The 21,059-nt window shown below is 38.1% G+C and overlaps 1 pseudogene; it reads left to right on the plus strand.

Annotated features, from left to right (window-relative positions):
• On the plus strand, positions 1,081-1,887 carry HMGB3P3 (high mobility group box 3 pseudogene 3; annotated as a pseudogene).

A 21,059-nucleotide genomic window follows, 5' to 3' on the forward strand; every position in this document is an offset into this window, starting at 1 on the left:
AGTGAAGCTGAATAAATGGCAACAGTGTCACAAGGTATAGGAGAGAGGCATTGGGATTGCTCCAGTAGAAGTTTCCTGCACCACATGTGACGAAGTGTAGCAGCATTAGAAGGTTGCTTTGGATCATGTAAAAATAAATATTGTAAATTCTAAGGCAAACATGAAAAAAAAGCTAAAAGAATTAAAATTGACACGCTCAGAGAAGAGATAAAATAGAATTATATAAAATGCTCAATAAAGCAAAAGACAGCAGAAAAATAGGAAAATTTTTTAAAAAATAAGAATAAATGGAGTAAATAGAGAACTGTTAAAAACAGTAGATATTCATCCAGTTATATCGATAAGCACTTTAAAGTGTACAGCCTAAGAAATTATTTTTAAAAAATTGTCAGATGAGTTTGTTTTTAAATATCCAACTATATGTTGTTTACAAAAAGCACATATTATATAGAAAGACTCAGACAAATTAAAATTGAAGGGATGGAGAAAGTTGTAACATGCTGACACTCTTGAATAAAAAAGCAGGAATAGCTGTAATAATTTCAAACACAGCACTCTTCAGAACAGGGAAGATCAGTGATGAAGAGGGACATTAACAATAAAAGGGTCAATTTTCCAGGAAGACATAATTATAAGCATGAATATATCACACAACAGAGCATCCAAATACATGAGGAAGAAACTGACTGAACCGAAAGGAGAAATAAACAGCTCCACTATTATAGTTAGCCACTGCCAGAATTGACAGTTTAAGCAGGCAGAAAATCAGTAAAGATGCGGACAACCTGAACAGCGCTATCAATCAACTTGATCTAATTGACATTTTTAAAAATATTTCAGCCAGCAGTAACAGAATACACATTCTTCTTAAGCTCACAGGGAACATTTGCCAAGATAGGTTACATTCTGGGCCTTGAAAAACACCTTAAGTTTGAAAAAATAGAAACCCATTTAAAGCATGTTCTCAGACTACAATGGAACTAAATTAGAAATTAATAACAGAAAGATAGCTGAAAAATTCCCAAATATTTGTAAATTAAATAACGTGCTCTTAAATACCCCATAGGTCTAAAATAAATCTCAAAGAAATTTAAAAAGACTTTGAAAACTAAATGAAAATTAAAATACAATGTAGCCAAATTTGTGGAAGTCAGCAAAAGTATCAAAGAACCAAAGAGTTAGTTATTTTAGGGAGGCAAGAAGAAGGATCCTAATGCCCACAAAAGACCACCATCTGGATTCCTCCTGTTCTGTTCAGAATTCTGCCCAAGATCAAATTCACAAAGCCTGACATCTCTATTGGAGATGTGGCAAAAAAGCTGGCTGAGATGTGGAATAACTTAAATGACAGCGAAAGGAGCCTTACCTCACTGCATTAGTCCAGTGTCATGCTGCTACGAAGAAAAACCTGAGACGGGGTAATTTATAAAGGAAGGAGGTTTAATTGACTCACAGTTCCGCATTGCTGGGGAGGCCTCAGGAAACTTACAATCATGGCAGAAGGCAAGGAAAAACAAGCACCTTCTTCACAGGATGGCAAGATGGAGTGAGTGCCAAAAGGGGAAATGCCAGACACCTGTAAAACCATCAGATCTCGTGAGAACTCACTATCACAAGAACAGCAACCGCCCCCATGACCCAATTACCTCCACCTGGTCCCACCCTTGACAGGTGGGGATTATCGGGATTACAATTCCAGGTGAGACTGGGTTGGGGTCACAGAGCCAAACCATATCAATCACCAAGGCAGCAAAGCTGAAGGAGAAGTATGAGAAGGATGTTGCTGACTATAAGTCTAGAAAGTTTGATGGTGCAAAAGGTCCTGCTAAAGTTGCCCAAAAACAAGTGGAAGAGGAAGATGAAGAAGACGAGGAGGAAGTAAAGGAGGAGGATGAATTAAAAAAACTGTTCATCTATTTTAAAAATGCTTTTCTATAATGACTTTGTGTCCTACACCTCTGATAAGTTCAATTAATTTTAGCATTTTTTAATATATTCCTTAGGATTTTCTACTTAATGATCAGGTTGTCTGCAAATAAAAACAACTTTACTTCTTCCCTAAAAAAAAAAAAAAAAAAAAAAAAAAAAAAAAAAAATCACAAAATTGATAAATCTATAGCCAGGATTACCAAAAGTGAGAGAGAGAATATAAATCACAGATATAAAAAATGAGAGAATATTCATTAAATAATGAATCCCTTTGGCATAAGGATAATAAAGGTATACTATGAACAACTCTGTTTCCAAATTTGATAACTTAGATGAAATGAATGAATTTCTTGAGAGACACAAACTACCAAAACTCACACAAGGAGAGAGAGGCAACTTGAATAGGCATGTGTTTATTAAAGAAATTGAATAAATAACTTATAGCCTTCCTAAAAAGAAAGTACTATACCAGATGTTTTCACCAGTAAATTCTAACAAACATTTCAAGAAATAATACTAATTCTTTACAATATCTTCCAAAAAAATAAAAGCAGAGGGAACATTTCCTAACTCAGGTATGAGGCCAGATTACCTTAATACCTAAATCAGATAAAGATGTGAAATGAAAGGAAAACTATAGACTGATATCTCTCATAAATATATATGAAAAACTTCAACAAAATATTAGGAAATCAAATCCATCGAAGTACAAAAAGAATTATACATCCCAACCAAGTGGGATGTATTTAAAACATTCAAGGCTGGTTCAAGACTCAAAAATAAAAAAAAATCAATGTAACCCTCCATATCAACAAGCTAAAGAAAAGAAATAATTTGATCAAATCAATCAACACAGAGAAAGGCATTTAACAAAATCCAACACCCATTTATCATAAAACTCTTAGCAAACTAGAAACAGAGAGGACATCATCAACTTGATAAAAAAGTTATTAAAAGCTGAAAGCTAATATCATATTTAAAGAAAACAGAGTGGAATCTTCCCCCTCAAAATCAGGAACAAGGCAACAATGTCCTCTCTCACCATTCCTATTCAACATTGTGCTAGAAGTTTTACCTGGTGCAATAAAAATAGAAAAAGGAAGAAATGTATATGGATTAGAAAGAAAGAAGTAAAACTGTCTTTAGTCACAGATATAATCTTTTATGTAGAAAAGTCCAATTAAAAACACTTCTGGAACTAATAAATATGTATAACAAGGTCTCAAAAGTCAATTGCTTTCTTTTATACCAGAAATTTAAAAATTAGCATTTGAAATTAGAAAAGAAAATACTGAGATGCTTAATTTTATGTGTCAGCTTGACTGAGCCACAGTGCCCAGATATCTGGTCAAACATTCTAGACTTTCTTGTGAAAGTATTTTTTTGGATTAACATTTAAACGGATAGAATTCGAGTAAAGACAATTACCCTCTATAATGTGGGTGGGCTTCATCCAATCAGATGAAGCATTCAGTAGAACAAAGACTGGCCTTTCTCAAGCAAGAAAAAATTCTGCCAGCAGATGGCCTTTGGAGTCCAACTTCTACTCTTCCCTGGGTCTCCAGCCTGCTGCCTAACCTGCATATTTGCAGTTGCCAAGGCTTCACAATTATATGAGCCAATTTCTTTAAATCTTCCTGTCTCCCCACCCCAAACACACACACACACTCACACACATTGTCTCACACACGCACTCACACACAGAGATGATGATGTTTCTGTTTTTCTGTTTCTCTGGAGAACCCTAATACAAATACCATTTACAATAGCACAAAAAATGAAATGATTAGGTATAACTATAACAAAAATATGTATAGGATATGAATGCAGAAAACTATGAAATGCTGATGAAATCAAAAACTAAATAAATGGACAGATATTCCATGTTCATGGATAGGAAGACAATATTGTCAAGATGTCAGTTCTTTCCAACTTGATCCACAGATTCAAGACAATCCAGACTTTACTGGACTACTTTGTAGGCATCAATAAACTAATTTTAAAGTGTGTATCAAATGGCAAAATAGTTAGATCACACAACACTAAAGAAGGAGTAGGAGAAGAAGAAGGAGGAGGAAGAACAATAAAGCTGAAGGACTCACAGTGCTCTATTTCAAGACTTACTATTAAGCTACAGTAATCAAAACCTAGTGTTGGCAAAAATAAATAAATAGGTCAATGTAACTAAATAGTCCATAAATAGAGCCACACAGATATAGTTAACTGATCTTTGATAAAGGAGCAAAGGCAATTCCATATAGAAAAGACAGTTTTTTTTAACAATTGTGCTAGAAAACTTGGATGTCAATATGAAAATAAAACCCTAGCCCTTACACATGTCACAAAAAATTAACTCAAAATTGACCATATACCTAAATGTAAAACACGAAGCTATAAAACTTCTGGAAGAAATGACGAGAGAAAAAACTATAAGACCTGGCTTTTTTGAGGTGGTTTTATATACAACATGAAATGATAATCCATGAAAGTAAATTGAACTGATAACTTGGAATTTATTAAAATTTAAAACTGCTATGTAAAAGATACTTATGAAAATAAAAATACAAACCACAGAATGGGAGAAACTATTTGCAAAACATATCTGTTAAAAGACTTGTATTCAAAATATACAAAGAAACTTAAAACTCAACAATGAAAAGAGAAATAACCCAACTTTTCTTTTTTAGATTCATGGGGTACACATGCAAGTTTGTTACATAGGTATATTGTATGGTGTTGAGGTTTCGGCTTCTAATGATCCTGTTAGCCAAGTAGCAAACATAATACACAATAGATAGTTTTTCAATCCTGTCCCCCCATTTCCCCTTTTTGGAATCCCCAGTATTTATTGTTCTCATCTTTGTGTCTATGTGTACCCAATGTTTAGCTCCTCTGTAAAAGTGAAAACATGCAATATTTGGTTTTCTGTTTCTGTACTAGTTTGCTTGTGATAATGGCCCCAGCTGCATACATGTTGCTGCAAAAGATATGATTTTATTATTTTCATAGCTATGTAGTATTCCATGGTGTATATGTACCACATTTTCTTTATCCAATCCGCCATTGTTTGGTATCTGTGTTGATTCCATATCTTTGCTATTGTGAATAGTGCTATGATAAACATGCAAGTGCAGGTGTCTTTTTGATGGAACAATTTATTTTTCTTGGGGTATATACTGAGTAATGGAATTGCTGGGTTGAATAATAATTCTAGTTTTACTTCCTTGAGAAATCTCCAAACTGCTTTCCACAGAGGCTGAACGACTTTGTATTCCCACCAACAGTGTGTAAGAGTTCCCGTTTCTCCACAGCCTCATCAACATCTGTTATTTTTTGACTTTTAAGTAATAGCCGTTGTGACTGGTGTGAGATAATATCTCATTGTGCTTTCTATTTGCATCTTCCTGATGATTAGTGATGTTGAACATTTTTTTCATGTTTTTGGCCACTTATATGTCTTTCTCTTTCTCTGAGAAGTGTCTGTTATGTCCTTTGCCCAGTTTTTAAATAGTTTTTTTTTTCTTTTTGATTTGTTCAAGTTTCTTATAAAATCTAGATATTGGTCTTTTGTGAAATGTACATTTTGCAAATATTTTCTCTCATCCCATAGGTCATCTGTTTACTCTGCCGTTAGTTTTTGTTATTGTTGTTTGTTTGTTTTTGCTGTGCAGAAGCTCTTTTGTTTAATTAGGTACCAATTGTCAATTTTGTTTTTGTTGCATTCACTTTTGAGGACTTAGACATAAATTCTTTGCCAAGGCTAATGACCAGAAGGGTATTCCCTAGATTTTCTTCCAGGATTTTTATAGTTTGAGGTTTTGCATTTAAGTCTCTAGTCCATCTTGTGTTAATTTTTGTATATGAAATAACTCAGCTTTTAAAACAGTCAAAAGATTTAGACACTTCACCAATGAAGACTTGCAGATGGAAACTAATCATGTGAATAGGCAACATCATTATTCATTAGGGAAATGCAAATTAAAACAATAATAAGTTATCATTACAGATCTATTGGAATGGCTAAGTTAGCTAGAATTGGCTAAAATCCAAATAACTGACAAGATCAAATCTGGCAATGATACAGAGCAACAGAAACTCTCATTCATTTTTAATAAGAATACAAAATGGCACAGCCAATTTGGAAGAGAGTTTAGCAGTTTCTTTTAAAGCTAAATTTACTCTTCCCATATGATCCAGCAGTCATGTTCTTGGGTAATTACCCCACCAATTTGAAAACGTTTGTACACACAAACATCTTCATGCAGATGTTGGTAGTCATTTTATCATAACCACTGAAAACTAGAAGCAGCCAATAGGTCCTTCAATAGATGAATGGATAAGCAAACTTGGTACATCCATACAGTGGAATACCATTCTCCAATAAAAAGGAGTGAGCTGCTAGTGAGCCACTTAAAGACACAGAAGAAACTTAAATGCATATTGTGGAGTGAAAGATGAAAATCTGAACAGGATATGTACTGATTCCAGTTATGCGATATTCTAGAAAGGGAAAAATTGCATAAAGACAACAAATCAGTAGTTGCCAGAGGTTCATGCTGGGGACAGGGCGTGTATAGGTGAAGCACAAGATTGTTTTCGAGTGGCAAAACTATCCTGTATAATACTGTAATGGTGGGTACATACACTATACAAAACCCATAACATAAATTTGCAGCACAAAGAGGAAACCTTAAGGTATGCAAAATTTTTTTTTTTTTGAAAATTACTCAAGAGGTCAAAGGATTCCAGGATGGCATAAAGATTGTGAAAAAGAATGTGACTATTTTACAAGTGTAAGACATAATCTTCAGAGGCAAGTGGAAAAGGCACTGGCTTAAGTAACTTAGAAAATGCATGGAGCCTGTAAGACTAAACACAACAGAAACAGTATATAAGCACTGTGCTCTAGCTGATAAAGCTGCTTCCCACAGGGGTACAGGTTAATAATTCTGACCACTATGCATGTCTAGTGAAATTGAACGATTAAATAAATGGATGGTGAATGGTAGGAGTTATATTTCTCACGATTGAAATGGAAGGTTCGAGATAACTGGAGGAGCTAGAATACTCCACGTGATGACGGCTCATCATTGGTGACATAAACTCATGTTTACCTTAATATGAATATGGATGGTTTCATAGAGAAACATTTATAGATATATGTATATACACAGGCTGGTATACACACGTATTTCCTTGCTGTCAGATGATAGCAACTAGGACTAACAACACCTCAGTGGCAGCAAGTACATCTAGGCTCCAGACCATGGTTTCCACTCATAATACTCTCCTGCAATGGAAGGACCCTGGTATCCTTGGGGAAATGGCTGGTTCTAGGCCTGGGGCAGGAAACATAGAAGATGAACCTTAAGCATCTCGCAGCACCAGGAAGCAAGTAAGTAATAACAACAATATCAGAAAATAAAATATTCGTAATAATTATTTTTTAAATTTAATTATATATAACATTCAAAACTGTGATAAGGAAGCCAACTAAAAGATGTCTCAATGGTCTAAGTTGGCTCTAGTAAAATAGAACCCAACTAAAAAGCTTTCAATTGTCAAAACTGGACCAATTTGAGCAATACAATGAATAAAGTAGTATTGGATTATAACCCAAAGTGTAAAAAAAAAAGTCCATCCATGAGTCCACACTGATATAAAGAAATAATTGAATAAATAAATTAATGGGGAAGAATAGAAAAGGCTGTCACACAAAATAATTCAAAATAATCTGTACAGATACTCTGCCTTCCAAGAGGTGGAGCCTAACTCTCCACTCTTAAGTATGGGCTGTGCATAGTGACTTCCTTCCAAAGAGTATAGTAGGAAGCAGGGGTTACTTTACAGAAGAGAAATGTCACAAGTGTGACTGCATCTGAGTGTTCAAGGTTAACTTCCATAGTGGTAAGTCATGTTAATAGCATGTGCCCTTTGTGTGACATGATGAGAATGGCATTGTACATCTGTGATCTTCCTCCCCAAAAACGTGTAATCCCCAACTAATCGTGAGAAAACATCAGACAAATCCCAACGGAAGGATGTTCTACGAAATACTTGGCCGGCTTTCCTCCATACTGTGAAGGTCACCCAAACAAAGTCTGCAAAAACAGCACCACCAAGAGGGGGCTAAGGAGACAGGATGACTAAATGAAATGCGGCATCCTGGGCGCGGGCCCAGAACAGAAAAAGAGCATTAGGCAAAAATTAAGAAATCTGAATGAAGTATGGGTTTTAGTTTATACTATGTCAATGTTGTTTCATTAATTATGAGAAATGTAACATACTAATTTAAACGTTAACAATCAGGGAAGCTTTGTGTGAGCTTTATATGAGGGCTGTATTCTCTTTACAACTTTTCTGTAAGTCTAAAATTATTTTACAACTAAAAGCTTATTTTAAAACATGAGCTGTAAAATGACATATAATCAATGAATTTTCTAGCTCTTCATTTATTACATTTACTTAATTCTTTTTTTTTTTTTTCAGACGGAGTCTTGCACTATTGCCCAGGCTGGAATGCAATGGCACGATCTCCGCTCACTACAACCTCTGCCTCCTGGGTTCAAGCGATTCTCCTGCCTCAGCCTCCCAAGTAGCTGGGATTACAGGCACGTTCCACAATGCCCGGCTAATTTTTTGCATTTTTAGTAGAGACGCGGTTTCATTATGTTGGCCAGGCTGATCTTGAACTCCTGACCTCATGATCTGCCCACCTCAGCCTTCTTCTTCTAAATTGTTCAATTCTGGAACATTATAAGGAAAACCAAAATTAGCAGAATATGGCTCAACTTATTCAAATCGCTTTTCAATTGCCACTGAATTGTAATTTATAATAGATACAATCAGTTTCAGAATCATTAGTAAACAATCTTATTCACAGTTACGTAAGCATTTTTGTTACTTGGTTCTAATTTTTTTATATTTTATTGGAATGTCACGTCCACTGTTGTTTCATTTAAGCAAAATCCACTTTTCTTTTTAAAAAACTTTCCAAGTTACTTTAATTTTTTTAAGCAAAATCCCTAAACTGCTCCAAAATTGTTATCCCCATGGGTATGAGTTGTGATTCCTTCATATAATATGGATGGTTGCATACAGGAATATGGATTCCTCATTGGATTTTCCACCAGAACAAATGGTGTTAACAAATGGATTCCCACTAGAATTCTGGCTTCTATACTTTTCAACAACATTCCTCGTGTCTTTATCTTAGGTGTGCCCTTAACTACTTTTTTTTCCAGTTTTATCAAGGTATAATTGACAACAAAAAATTATATATACCTAAGGTGTACAACTTGATGTTTTGATGTTCATATACTTTCTGAAATAATTACCACCATTAAGCTAATTTGTGTATCTATCACCTCACATAGTTACCTTCTTTTTTTAATCATTGTGGTAAGGATGCTTAAGATCAATGTCCAAAACTGAAAGTTGCCTATTCCATCTTTTACTTAAATCAAACCTATACATTTTCCAATGGACATAAAAGCAGTGACATAGCTACTAATTTTGATATCTCCGTTTTCTTTTCTTTTTTTTTTTTTTTTTTGAGATGGAGTCTTGCTCTGTCACCCAGGCTAGAGTGCAGTGGTGTGAACTCGGCTCAGTGAAAGCTCCGCCTCCCGGGTTCACACCACTCTCCTGCCACAGCCTCCCAAGTAGCTGGGACTACAGGCACCCGTCACCACACCCGGCTAATTTTTTGTATTTTTAGTAGAGATGGGTTTTCACCGTGTTAGCCAGGATGGTCTCGATCTCCTGACCTCGTGATCCACCCACCTCAGCCTCCCAAAGTGCTGGGATTACAGATGTGAGCCACCACGCCAGGTCGATATCTCTGTTTTCTTTTGACTGGTGGTTAGCAATACAAACAACAAATGTTAGTTGTTCAAGATAATTTGTCCTTGATATACTCTAGCTGAATGAATAATATTTACCATTTTAAACATTTGTTTATGATTTCTTCTCTCACTTTAGTCTTTAAAATATGGATCTTATATTCTAATTTTTTTATTCTTGACCATGTTCATATGCTTTACTTTTCATCTATATTTCAGACTCAGCCATTCAGTTATTGAAATAATTTCTACTAAATTAAAAAGTTTCTATTGCTTTCTATAAATATTGTATTAGTGGTACCACAAGCTCGCACACACACCCATATACGCACACAACCATATATCATCATCATGATTATCATCGTGCTTGCTAAGTATTGGGTATAAACTGTTATCCTTTAAGAATATCACACCCATGTATTTCAGTACCAGGTGTCTTTCTTGAATACCTTTGATTGTTTGCTGCTTATTCAGATGTTTTCCCATGGTGGTAACATGGTGTGATTTTTACGTCCAAGTGATGTTTTTTTTTTATTAAGAATGTGAGTGTTTCTAGCCACAAATATCGTCTTAGCCAAAGCTGTTATAAAATATGAAAAAAAAATTAGAAAATACTTTGTCTTTGAATTTAAAATATAAAAGTTGATTTATACACTTTCTCCACTTGAAGAAATTTTGATGTAAAATACTAAATTTTTTTCAGACTTATCCAAAGAAAAATCAGAATCATCCATTTGAATCAGACTGTTTGCTAGAAGCATTCACACACTATCAAAATGATGCGATGAGGTTTCATCTTTCTTGCTCAATTTACCAATTTTGTGAACAGCATTTGCCTCATCTTCTAACAGAAGGCTGGAGCTGTTTGTTGCTTGTAGTTGTGGATTTGATAAGAATTAATCTTGTCCATTCGCATTCATTGTTTAATAAAAAATTAACTCTTCCTTTAATAACAAATATGAAGAGATTTTATTGTCCTGTTCATGTTTTATATCTGGTAAGAATAATTTTTTTAAATGTAATATCCTGTTTGCTAATTTCAAGTGAGTCACACTCAGTGAAAGTCTGCTGAATTACTTGGTCTCAAGATTTTTTTAATTTAAGCAGAAATTTCTCTTTGAAGATTTTTCTGTTTCCTTTTAAGCTTTTCATTTCTGAGCTCTGCTTCTATATTTTCTATTTCTACAAAAAAATTGGACTTACATTTATTCTCCATGATTAAAGTAATTCTTTAGTTAATAAAATATAAAATTTCAGATTAAAATATATAAGATGCTACTTGAAATATATAAATATATAATATTTGAATATATTCCCATCAAAAATATAAATTAAATATATGAATATATAAGTACATCAACATAAAAATTTAAATAATAGGGCTGGGCGCAGTGGCTCATACTGATAATCCCAGCACTTTGAAAGGCCAAGGGAGGGGAATCACCTGAGGTCAGGAGTTCAAGACCAGCCTGGCCAACACGGTGAAACCCTATCTCTACCAAAAATACAAAAATTAGCAGGGCACAGTAGCGGGTGGGAGGCTAAAGCAGGAGAATTGCTTGAACATGGGAGGCGGAGGTTGCAGTGAGCCGAGCACTCCAGCCTGGGCAACAAGAGCAAAACTCTGTCTCAAAAAAAAAAATTAAAATAGTATTAATAATTGATGATTTAAAAATATTTTGGCTGGGTGTGATGCCTCATGCCTATAATCCCAGCACTTTGGGAGGCCAAGGCGAGTAGATCACCTGAGGTCAGGAGTCCAAGACCAGCCTGGCCAACATGGCAGAGCTCTATCTCTACTAAAAAATACAAAAATTAGCCAAGCTTGATAGCGGGTACCTGTAATCCCAGCTACTCGGGAGGCTGAGGCAGGGAGAATTGCTTAAACCTGGGAGGCGGAGGTTGCAGTGAGCCAAGATCATGCAACTGCACTCCAGCCTGGGCAATAGTGAGGCTCTGTCTCAAAAAAAAAATTTTTTTCAAATATTTTCCTTAAAAAAAATTGTTTTTCTTCTAGGATAAACTACTTTTTAAAAATTAAAGGTCAAATATAAATTGCATTAATAAGCTCAAACACTGTAAATCAAAGTTATGTTAAATGAAGCTATAGTTATGTAAATTAAATCTTATTAAACATTTTTGTAGAAATAACGCTGTTCACAATTCTCCTGTTGAAACTTTTTGAGCTGCCAGTGTGAAAAATCATTGTCATGCTTCAAACCATGGCAGGGCATCTGCAGGCCCAGCCAAGCACCTCAGCCACCCCCAGCTCCCCACACCACAGAGTCCCGTCCATCTCTGACAGCAGCGGGGCTGTGACTCGCAGCCTCTCCCAGCTTTCAGAGCAACATGAGATGAGGGGAACTTTATCTTGGAGCCCTAACGGTGTCAGCCATGAGGTAATGGGTTTATGGGTTATGGGCCATGCTGTGCCAGTGCGAAGTGGCAGATCCTGAGCAAGAAAAGTACCCATATGTCCCTAAATAAATGTGTGTTCATCTGCGTTTGTTCAATGCCCTCATGCCTGACCCGGGGAGCCCAGCCTCAGTGTACTCCCAACAGAAGCACCTGCAGATGTGACAAGGAATCATGCAGAGTGACAGTCAGGGAGGCATCATTGCAAGAGCTAAAGCCATGTCAACCATCTAGATGTTGTGCATCTATTCCACTAACAATAAAAAGACGAGCCAATTGTTCTGCATTCACGCGTGGAATACTAAACAGCAAAGAAAATTAGAGAACTGGGGCTACGTGCAAAAATGCAAGCGAGTGTCACACCCATGAGGCGAACAAAGAAGCCAGGCATCACATAAAACACTCATCAATTCCATTTACGAAAATCTACTATCGGGTTTAGTGATGGTACCTACCAGGTATCACTTAAGAAAATCCAAGAAGGGGTTATCATAAGAGTCAGGATGTTTGTGGCTTGTAAGGAAGGAGAGTGGAGAGGGCAGTAATGGGGAGAAGGCACAAGGGAGGGCTTTCACGGCGCTGGAAATGTTCTCTTTCTGAATTTGATAAGCAGTTACAGGTTGTTTCATTGCTGTGTTTCACAGTATAATAGGTTACAGTTAACGTTTATGCTTGTGAAGTTTTCTGTATGTGTAGTATTAGACTTCAGAAAAATATTGTTTAAGTGAATTGGTGTATGCAAAAAAGAAAGGAGGGAGAGCAACGTTAGACAATTTAATCATTCATTCAGCAAATATTTATTGGCACTATGGGTAAAGTTGCCCTGAAAACAATGGTCCAGGCCGGGCACAGTGGCTCACACCTGAAATCCCAACACTTTGGGAGGCCAACATAGACAGATCACGAGGTCAGGAGATCAAGACCATCCTGGCTAACACAGTGAAATCATGTCTCTACTAAAAACACAAAAAATTAGCCAGGCCTGGTGGTGGGTGCTGTAATCCCAGCTACTCAGGAGGCTGAGGCAGAGAATTGCTTGAACCCTGGAGGCAGAGGTTACTGTGAGCCAAGATTGTGTCACTGCACTCTAGCCTGGGTGACAGAGCAAGACTCCATCTCAAAAAAAAGAAAGCAAGAACAACAACAATGGTCAGAAACAAGTTCAGTATCTAAGGCCCCTCTCTGTCCTACAAAGCCATCTCAGCCCAGAAGTTGTTCATCTTTAAATAGTCCCCTCACTTCCTCTCTGTGGGGGTCCGTCCCGCAGACCCAGCTGCACAACAGATGAATAATGTACTCAGACACTGATATTCAGTGAAAGAGTGGGCTAGGGGGCCAGGCCGCTGACTGAAAGAGTTGTAGCAGCTGTGGCCCTGACTCGCTGGCCCTGCTGGCATTTATTCAGCACACATTAAATGACAAAAGCTTTGAGTCAACACCACTAGAGTGTAATTAACCTGGTCACCCTCCTCCTGAGAGAGCCACCCTGCCCACAAATGATCAAGGGTTAGTTTTAGGACCACATGAGTAAACAAATTATTTAGATAAACTCCCTTACATTCATTTGTATCTACTTTAAGCTATTTACTTAAGGTAAGAGGATTAGGCTGCTTTCAGCCAGATCTATTACTGAAGTTATGCAACCCCCACAGCCTTCTAAGAAGGTTTGTGTCTATTTCTTATAACTATCTTTAACATTTTTCCCACCAGCCTGCCTGAACTCCCACACCTCTATGCTTGTGATCAGAAATACTGCAAAGAGTAAGAGATGTGAGTCCACACCTTGCAATCTGGATCCTGCTCTTCCCAAGAGCCGGTCAGAATCACGGCTCTCTTCTAACGATAACCCCGAAGAGAAAAGCTAGGGCTGGATCACAGTCATCCACCAGCATCCCTTATTAAATACTCTTCAAATTATTCTCATCTCACTTTTCGAGGGCAGGAGGAGCTTGGAGGTATGCAACTGCCCCCCCCAGAACTGACCTTGGTGCTGAACTTCTTAGAGGAAGAAGAGTGAATTCAGACTCACCAGATCTTCCAAATCTCCCTTTTTCTTAGAAATCTATCTGCTTTGAGTGGCTTTTCTACCATTTGAATTTTGAACTTATTACTTTAGCAGGTGAACATGGGAAAGAAATTTAAAATGCAAATATAAGGAACTCTTTCTCATATTTCCAGTGGGACAAAACACCACACATTAATAAAGTTATCCTTCTAAATCAAATTATGATGGATGGGTTATTTTCTTTCTAATGGACCAAACTTCTTGATAATCCCAAATAGATACCAAGAGCCAGGCTCACATGAATGTTTACTCTATAATCCCCATGATCCTATTACATTCAGGAGACAGAAAGGCTGGTTGGTACCTAACTCAATACACAGGATGTGTGTAGCTGGAATTTATGAACCAGCATCCCGGCAGAGGTGATCAGTCTGGCCGCTGTCAGAGAAGCAGACGTGATGAATTCAAATATTTTAGAATGCCACAGGCTGGCAAGCCACATACATCCTGCTGAGCGAGCTCAGAGGTGAACAACTACCTTCTGATTCTCACAGTGAAACATCACGTACAGTACTTCAGCTCAGAAAACTCCAAATAACTAGAAAACTTACTATAAACAAATTGTACTGAAATCTTAGTAGACTGTGGTATTAGTGATTTTTTTCTTGTAATTCTCAGTATCTTTCTTGATTTCTCTATATCTTTTTACTGCATTTGGAGAACACTTTCAAAGTCCCCTTGTAGCTAATTTAATACCTATGAATTCCCCATGGGTGTTGTAGAAAGACTGTGCAGCTTAGGAGATTAACTACTTTATATTTTATTACAAAGGTATGGGCTCAAAATATATAAAGGCCTTATTATCTGAAGAATACTTTCCCTGTCTAAAACCAGAACATATAATGGGTTATTTTAGAAGAGAAAATTATTATGTTAAAGCATGTCACCACCAATAAAATAACATGTTTAAATGTAATTCAAAGACTAAAGAGTCAAGAAAATTAAAAGAAAGTTCTAATTTCAATACAATATCACACAGTATTTATAGAAAACCCCTTTTAACTGAATGACTATTCACATAATCTTGGATTTCTTTCATTACTGCTCACTAATATTATCCCAATTAGAAGTGCTGTTCTAGCTCTCTTGTATTAGTTAAAACCACTTCTCAGAGGAACTCAAAGTAAATAAGTTTAATTAAAACTAATCTTTCCAATTCCCACTGTGGTAAAAAGGAAGTAGGTATTATGTCTCATTGACATGCAGGAAGGTTCATCCACGAAGGAGCCCCAGGTGAAGACTCTGGTGTTAGTAGGGTGCTGGCTCACAGCATACCAGAGTGTCAAGGTGCCCCCTGGGCTCCCAGTGCTTACCAGTCCTGGGTCAGGGCCCCTCAGTTACATGTTCGCACTTCCTGTCAAACAAGCCTTAACCCCAGTAGTGACTTTCAGATCAACAGGCAGATGAGGGGAGGCTATTGGGCAGGGGTCTCTCAGAACCTCACACGTCCTTAACCAGAGCCCTGAGCACTTGAACCTACTCAATGATATTCAAGGCAAGGTCCAGAGGAGGGAAGGGAAGGGAAAAAGATGGAAGAAGGAGAGAAAGAAGAAGAGGAGGGGAAGGAGGAAAAGAAAAAGGAGACGGGAAGGGAATGGGATGTCTTAGTCCCTTTGGGCTGCTGTAACAAAATATCACAGACTGTGGGGCCACAAGCTACAGAAATGTATTGCTCGCAGTTCTGGAGGATGAGAGTTCAAGATCCAGATTCTGGAAGATTCTATTTCTGGCAAGGGCCTGTTTCCTAATAAACAGCTGTCTTCTCACTGATTCCTCACATGGTGGACAAAAGGGGTGAGGAAGTTCTCTGGGGTGTCTATTATAAGGGCACTAATCCCATTCATGAGAGGCCCACCTTCATGACCTCATCAGCTCCCAAAGCCCCATCTCCCAGCACCATAAACTTGGGGGTGAGGATTTCAATGTATAAATTCTGGAAGTGAAGGAGGGGATGTAAACAGTCAGATCACAGCAGGAGGAGAGATGGTGAGGAGGGAGGGGAGGAGCGGAATAGAGAAGGAAGAGGAGGGGGAGGGGAGAAGCCGTCATTCCATTACCCCTATTTCCAGTAGAGTTCCAAAAGTCCAATCCCAGAAAACCGTTTGCTTAATGGACAATGTGTCTTGTCTCAAAGGAAATAGAGAAATTGTCAATATCTGAGCTTTTTGTTTCTTCAAATTATCATTTACTTAGGTGATAAAATAAATTAATTTTTAAAAACCAGGAATATTTAGGGCTTTTAAAGAGAAATGTGGTTACTCTTGGTATCATATATCAGCTCTTTTAAAAATTATTTTTATGATATACCATACCTAAAGAATGCATAAAACAAAAACCCACAGCTGTAACCAATGTAACCATCATCTGGGTCAAGAAATTGCCAGCACCTCAAGAGGGCCCCCTCATAGCTTATATAAGGTTAAATATTCCAAAGAAAAAACCCTCACATCATCTTCCTCATTGACATAGCATTTCCATGTGAAATTTAGAATCAGTTTGTCAAGTCAAACACACCCTGTTGGATTTTGATAGGGATTTCAGTAACCCGTAGATCAATTTTAAAGAGTTGACATCTTTACAGTATTGAATCTTTCCATCCATAAATATAATAGACCCTTTCATTTGTTGAGTTTTCAAATTTTTCTCATTAATAGTATTCTTCATGAGGTATTACATATATTTTATGTTATTTGTCTTACAATTTTGATGTTTTTCATAGTTTTAAATACTTTTTGAATTTTATTTCTAAAATGTATGTTGCTTCCATGTAGAATTTTTATTTTATGCATTAATTTAGCAGCAAAACTATACTCATTATTAATTCCACCAATTTATTTACTGGCATTTCTTATGCCTCTGGCTCCCCAGGGCATTGGCGTGCTCATCACTGGTGGAGGTGCCAGGGGGAGAAGCTGCAGAGGAGCAGAGTCCCCTGTCAACCTTCACCTGAGAGTGCCCGTGAGCCCCAGTGTCCAAGGCAGGTGTTCACTCTGTGCTTCTCACCCGAAGAAACTCTAATCTCCAGCCAGTCTTCTGACTCATGTGTGTGTAGGTGTGTCCCTGGTGTGGCTAGACATTACTTGCTCATAAGATTACAGGGATCTGGACTTAATTAGCAGATATTGCTGAGGGCTCAAGTATTTAATCAACCTCTAGATATTTTATCCACTGTAACGTGAATGAAGCAAGCAATTATACACGTTGCTTCACAAAGAATGCTTTGGGGAGAGGGGGGTGTGCGCTCTCCATGCAGTTCTGGAGAGGAAGACCTGGGCCACTGAGTAGCAGCCAGCCACAAACTGGTGCAGAACTCAGAGAGAGAGATGAGCCATGAAGAGAGAGAGTCAGAGCCAGGAGCTAGAGGGGTTCCTGCACCAACCCCTGGCCACCCCCTCCCCTCGGCCCACCCAGCACAGGCTACCAGCACCATGCCTTAAACACACGCCTGCTCATGTGAGCCACCAGTTCTGTCCCCATAAAGGTACCCCTTATCTCAAAGATACAGGGTGAGGATCACACAGCTCCCCTCCACAAGACCCTATGGTTTATTAGGAGATGGGGGGCTAGGCAGGCAGTTTCTCACGCTGTAGAACCTCCTTTCCCCAAATCGTGTTTTGTCCCATCAGGGGCCAGGCTCTCCCATATTGGACATTGCTTCCTGAGGTGCCTCCTTAACCACCCCACCTTGACCGCTGGCCTGTCTTGCCTGACCTGGGTCAGCTCTCATGTCACTGCTCCAGTGCAGCATGAAACCACCAGCCCTGGCTCTAACCTCAGTTCCATACTTCTTCTGAGTTCAGGGGTCCCAACTACACCTTCCAGCAAATTCTTCTTCTTTTTCAACCTAGGCTTCTAGTACCCCCTTGCACACTGCTTCTGCAGAGGCAGCTTTCAGGCCCTAAATTTTCCCCAGACTCCATGAGCTGGGACTGAGAGGAGGAAAGTTGAAGCCAGCAAGTTAAGAAGACAGAATAGAGAGAAAAAATCGCTGGCTTTAAGTGGAGACTCCTTGCTGCCCCTTCACTGCACCTTCTGCATTTCTGCAACATAAGCTGACTAGCTCTCACCTTGAGCTCATGCCAGCTTAAATCTTCAAGCTGCATTTACTGTAAATGCACAGCCGCGGTGGATTTCACGCAGAGTGCAATTTCACTATAACTCTATCTACTGTGTTGCAGAATTGTGAATTACTCAGCTTCCCTAATTAAAGAAATTTCCCCTATAAAGCCTTTATTTATATCTTTTCTAGAGTCCTCTGGCATTAACCCAGAAGACAGTGTTAGAATCCAATTTATCAATGTCAAAATATTAGAGTAATAATGAGGTTTGGAAACCTCTGTTGACCCAAAAGTAGACTCCTTCACAGTCAGAAGTGTAATGATTTTTCCTGGATGTGCTTCTGCCGGTGGAGGCGGTGGTTCCCATGTGTTAAAATGAAGTGCTTCTCATGCTTCCACCTGAAGCGCACCCCTTGGCACACAGAGTTTGTGCTTAGGAAAGTTGAAATCATCCAAACAGATCAATGGGGCTCAGCGCCAACATCCTGAATTCTCTCTGCTCCCTCAGAAGCAAACCCAATCACCAACAATAATGCTGACATGTGAGCCTCAGGATTAAATTGCAGGAACACTTCCGGGCAGCCTTTCTAGCAGTTGCTTGCATGCATGGAAGTCCATCCTCTGAGGCTGGCTTTAGTCTGGCTTCTCAGCCAGCACACACTTAAATCTTTCGATTTTCTCAACTGTATCTTGAGAAAGCTTTTTAGAATGGGTTTCTTTTTTACCATTACTTTTTATTCATTAAGTGTGACCAAAACCGTATGACGATAATTAGAAAATAGTGATAATGCAGTGCTGATAATCAAATAAAACATTTAAGGGAAAGGTGTTTCCAGAGTATTCTTGAAAAGACTGCTGCCTTTTTGAGATGAAAGAGATTTGGTGCCACACATTGAAAGCAAAAGTTGAATAGAATTATATTGCTAAAAGGGAAAGTGTGCTTTAAAAGAAGGCAGTCCAGTCTGTTCACTGCAGCTTTCAAACCAATTGTAGTTCAGTAGAACTTTTAATATTTGAATAGCTTATGCCAGACTCAGTTTTAGAAAGGGAAGAGTGTTTAGGGAAACACTTTAATGAGCTACTTAGAAGAAAAGGAAGGCTTTGAGAACATAAATTATCAGCAGATGCAGCACATATGAAAAGAAATTGGGGGTTGGTTTGAGAGAATAAGAGGAAGAAAGAAGGAGCTAACATGGCAGAAGTATGAGAAACAGATTGAAGAAATGGAGAGGGGCTGCTGTGAACAGAACTATCTAAAACTAAGTTTGCATAGCTACAATACTAACTCTACCATGTCTCTGAAAGTTCTGTAAAGTCTTCTACATATTTAAACTCTTAGGTGAGTGATGAATTTCATGTCAGGATCAAAGCCATGCAGATAGAGGATCATACTTGCTCACTGGAAAGATAATTGCTACAGCAGACTAAGTCAGTAGAAGCAGGATCCTGTTGGCCCAAAGGCAACCTTTAGGATGTATGCAGCTGGAGAATTTATTAAAATTTTGGTGAAAGCACTGTTATTCCATGGGGGTGAAATAAGAACTTAAACTCAATCCAGGTTTTTAGGGGGAAAAGTCATCCTAACAGATACATGGGTGAAATGATGATGATTGTGACAATGATGCTCATGATTTTTAACAACAGTGATGATGATGGTGATGGTAATGACGGCGATGATGATGGTGAGATTTAAGATGATGATTATGATGGTAATAGTGATGATGATGATAATGATCGTGATAATGGAGATTATGGTGATGATGGTGATGGTGATAATGGAGATGATGATCATGGTGATAATGGAGATGGTGATGATGACGGTAATGATGGTGATTATGACATTGATAATGGAGGTGATGGCGATGGTAATGATGATGATGGAGATGATAACAATGATGATAATAGAGGTGGTGGTGATGGTAATGATGGTGAGAATGAAGATTATGGTGATGGTGATGATGATGATGGAGATGATGACAATGGAGATGATGGTGATGATGGTGATGACAGTGGTAGTGATGATGATGACAATGATAGTGATGATGATGGTGATGATAATAATAATGAAATAGTGGTGGTGGTGGTGGTGGTGGTGGTGAACATGATAATGATTATAGCTAACATCTTTAAGTGCTTACTATATTCTACATCCATGATACCTTAATTGAGTTATTGAATTGAATCCTTACAATGTATGAGGTTAGCCTATTGCTATTGCCATTTTGTAGGTGAGAATAACAATAGACCTTGTCACCTAGTACCTAGAAAGCTTCTCTGTAAAACCCAGATTGTCCCTGAGTGTGGAGAATTGGAAGTCATCCACAAACAATGAAAGGTCAGTTCACAGTGGGAACATGGCCTTGGAAGTCGAATAGTCAATCCTGGGCATCTGATGCAAGGCCAATTGCTTGCAGACAGGGATTAGAACAGAAAACACTACTAGTGTTAAGTCAGTAATTACATGTAAGAACTGTGTAAGTACACATAGACGAAGCAAAGAAGAGGCAGAAAGAGAGAAAATGGCATAAATGGAGAGGGAGAGGTGACAAGCGGAGAGGTGTCCTGGAGCTGTTTATTCCTAAACAGGAGTAACAGGATGAAAGACCAAAGATAGCCACTGCACATCTACCTGAGTCTCTGCCCTACCCACATCTGCTCCTCATCCTTCTACCTCCCACTTTTCAATCTGTGGAGGGATCTGCCTGCAACTTTCAATAATCTAGTCCACCAATAAGGTGCCAACCACAG

Source organism: Homo sapiens, chromosome 5 (genome assembly GCF_000001405.40).
Source record: "Homo sapiens chromosome 5, GRCh38.p14 Primary Assembly".
Classification (NCBI taxonomy): domain Eukaryota; kingdom Metazoa; phylum Chordata; class Mammalia; order Primates; family Hominidae; genus Homo; species Homo sapiens.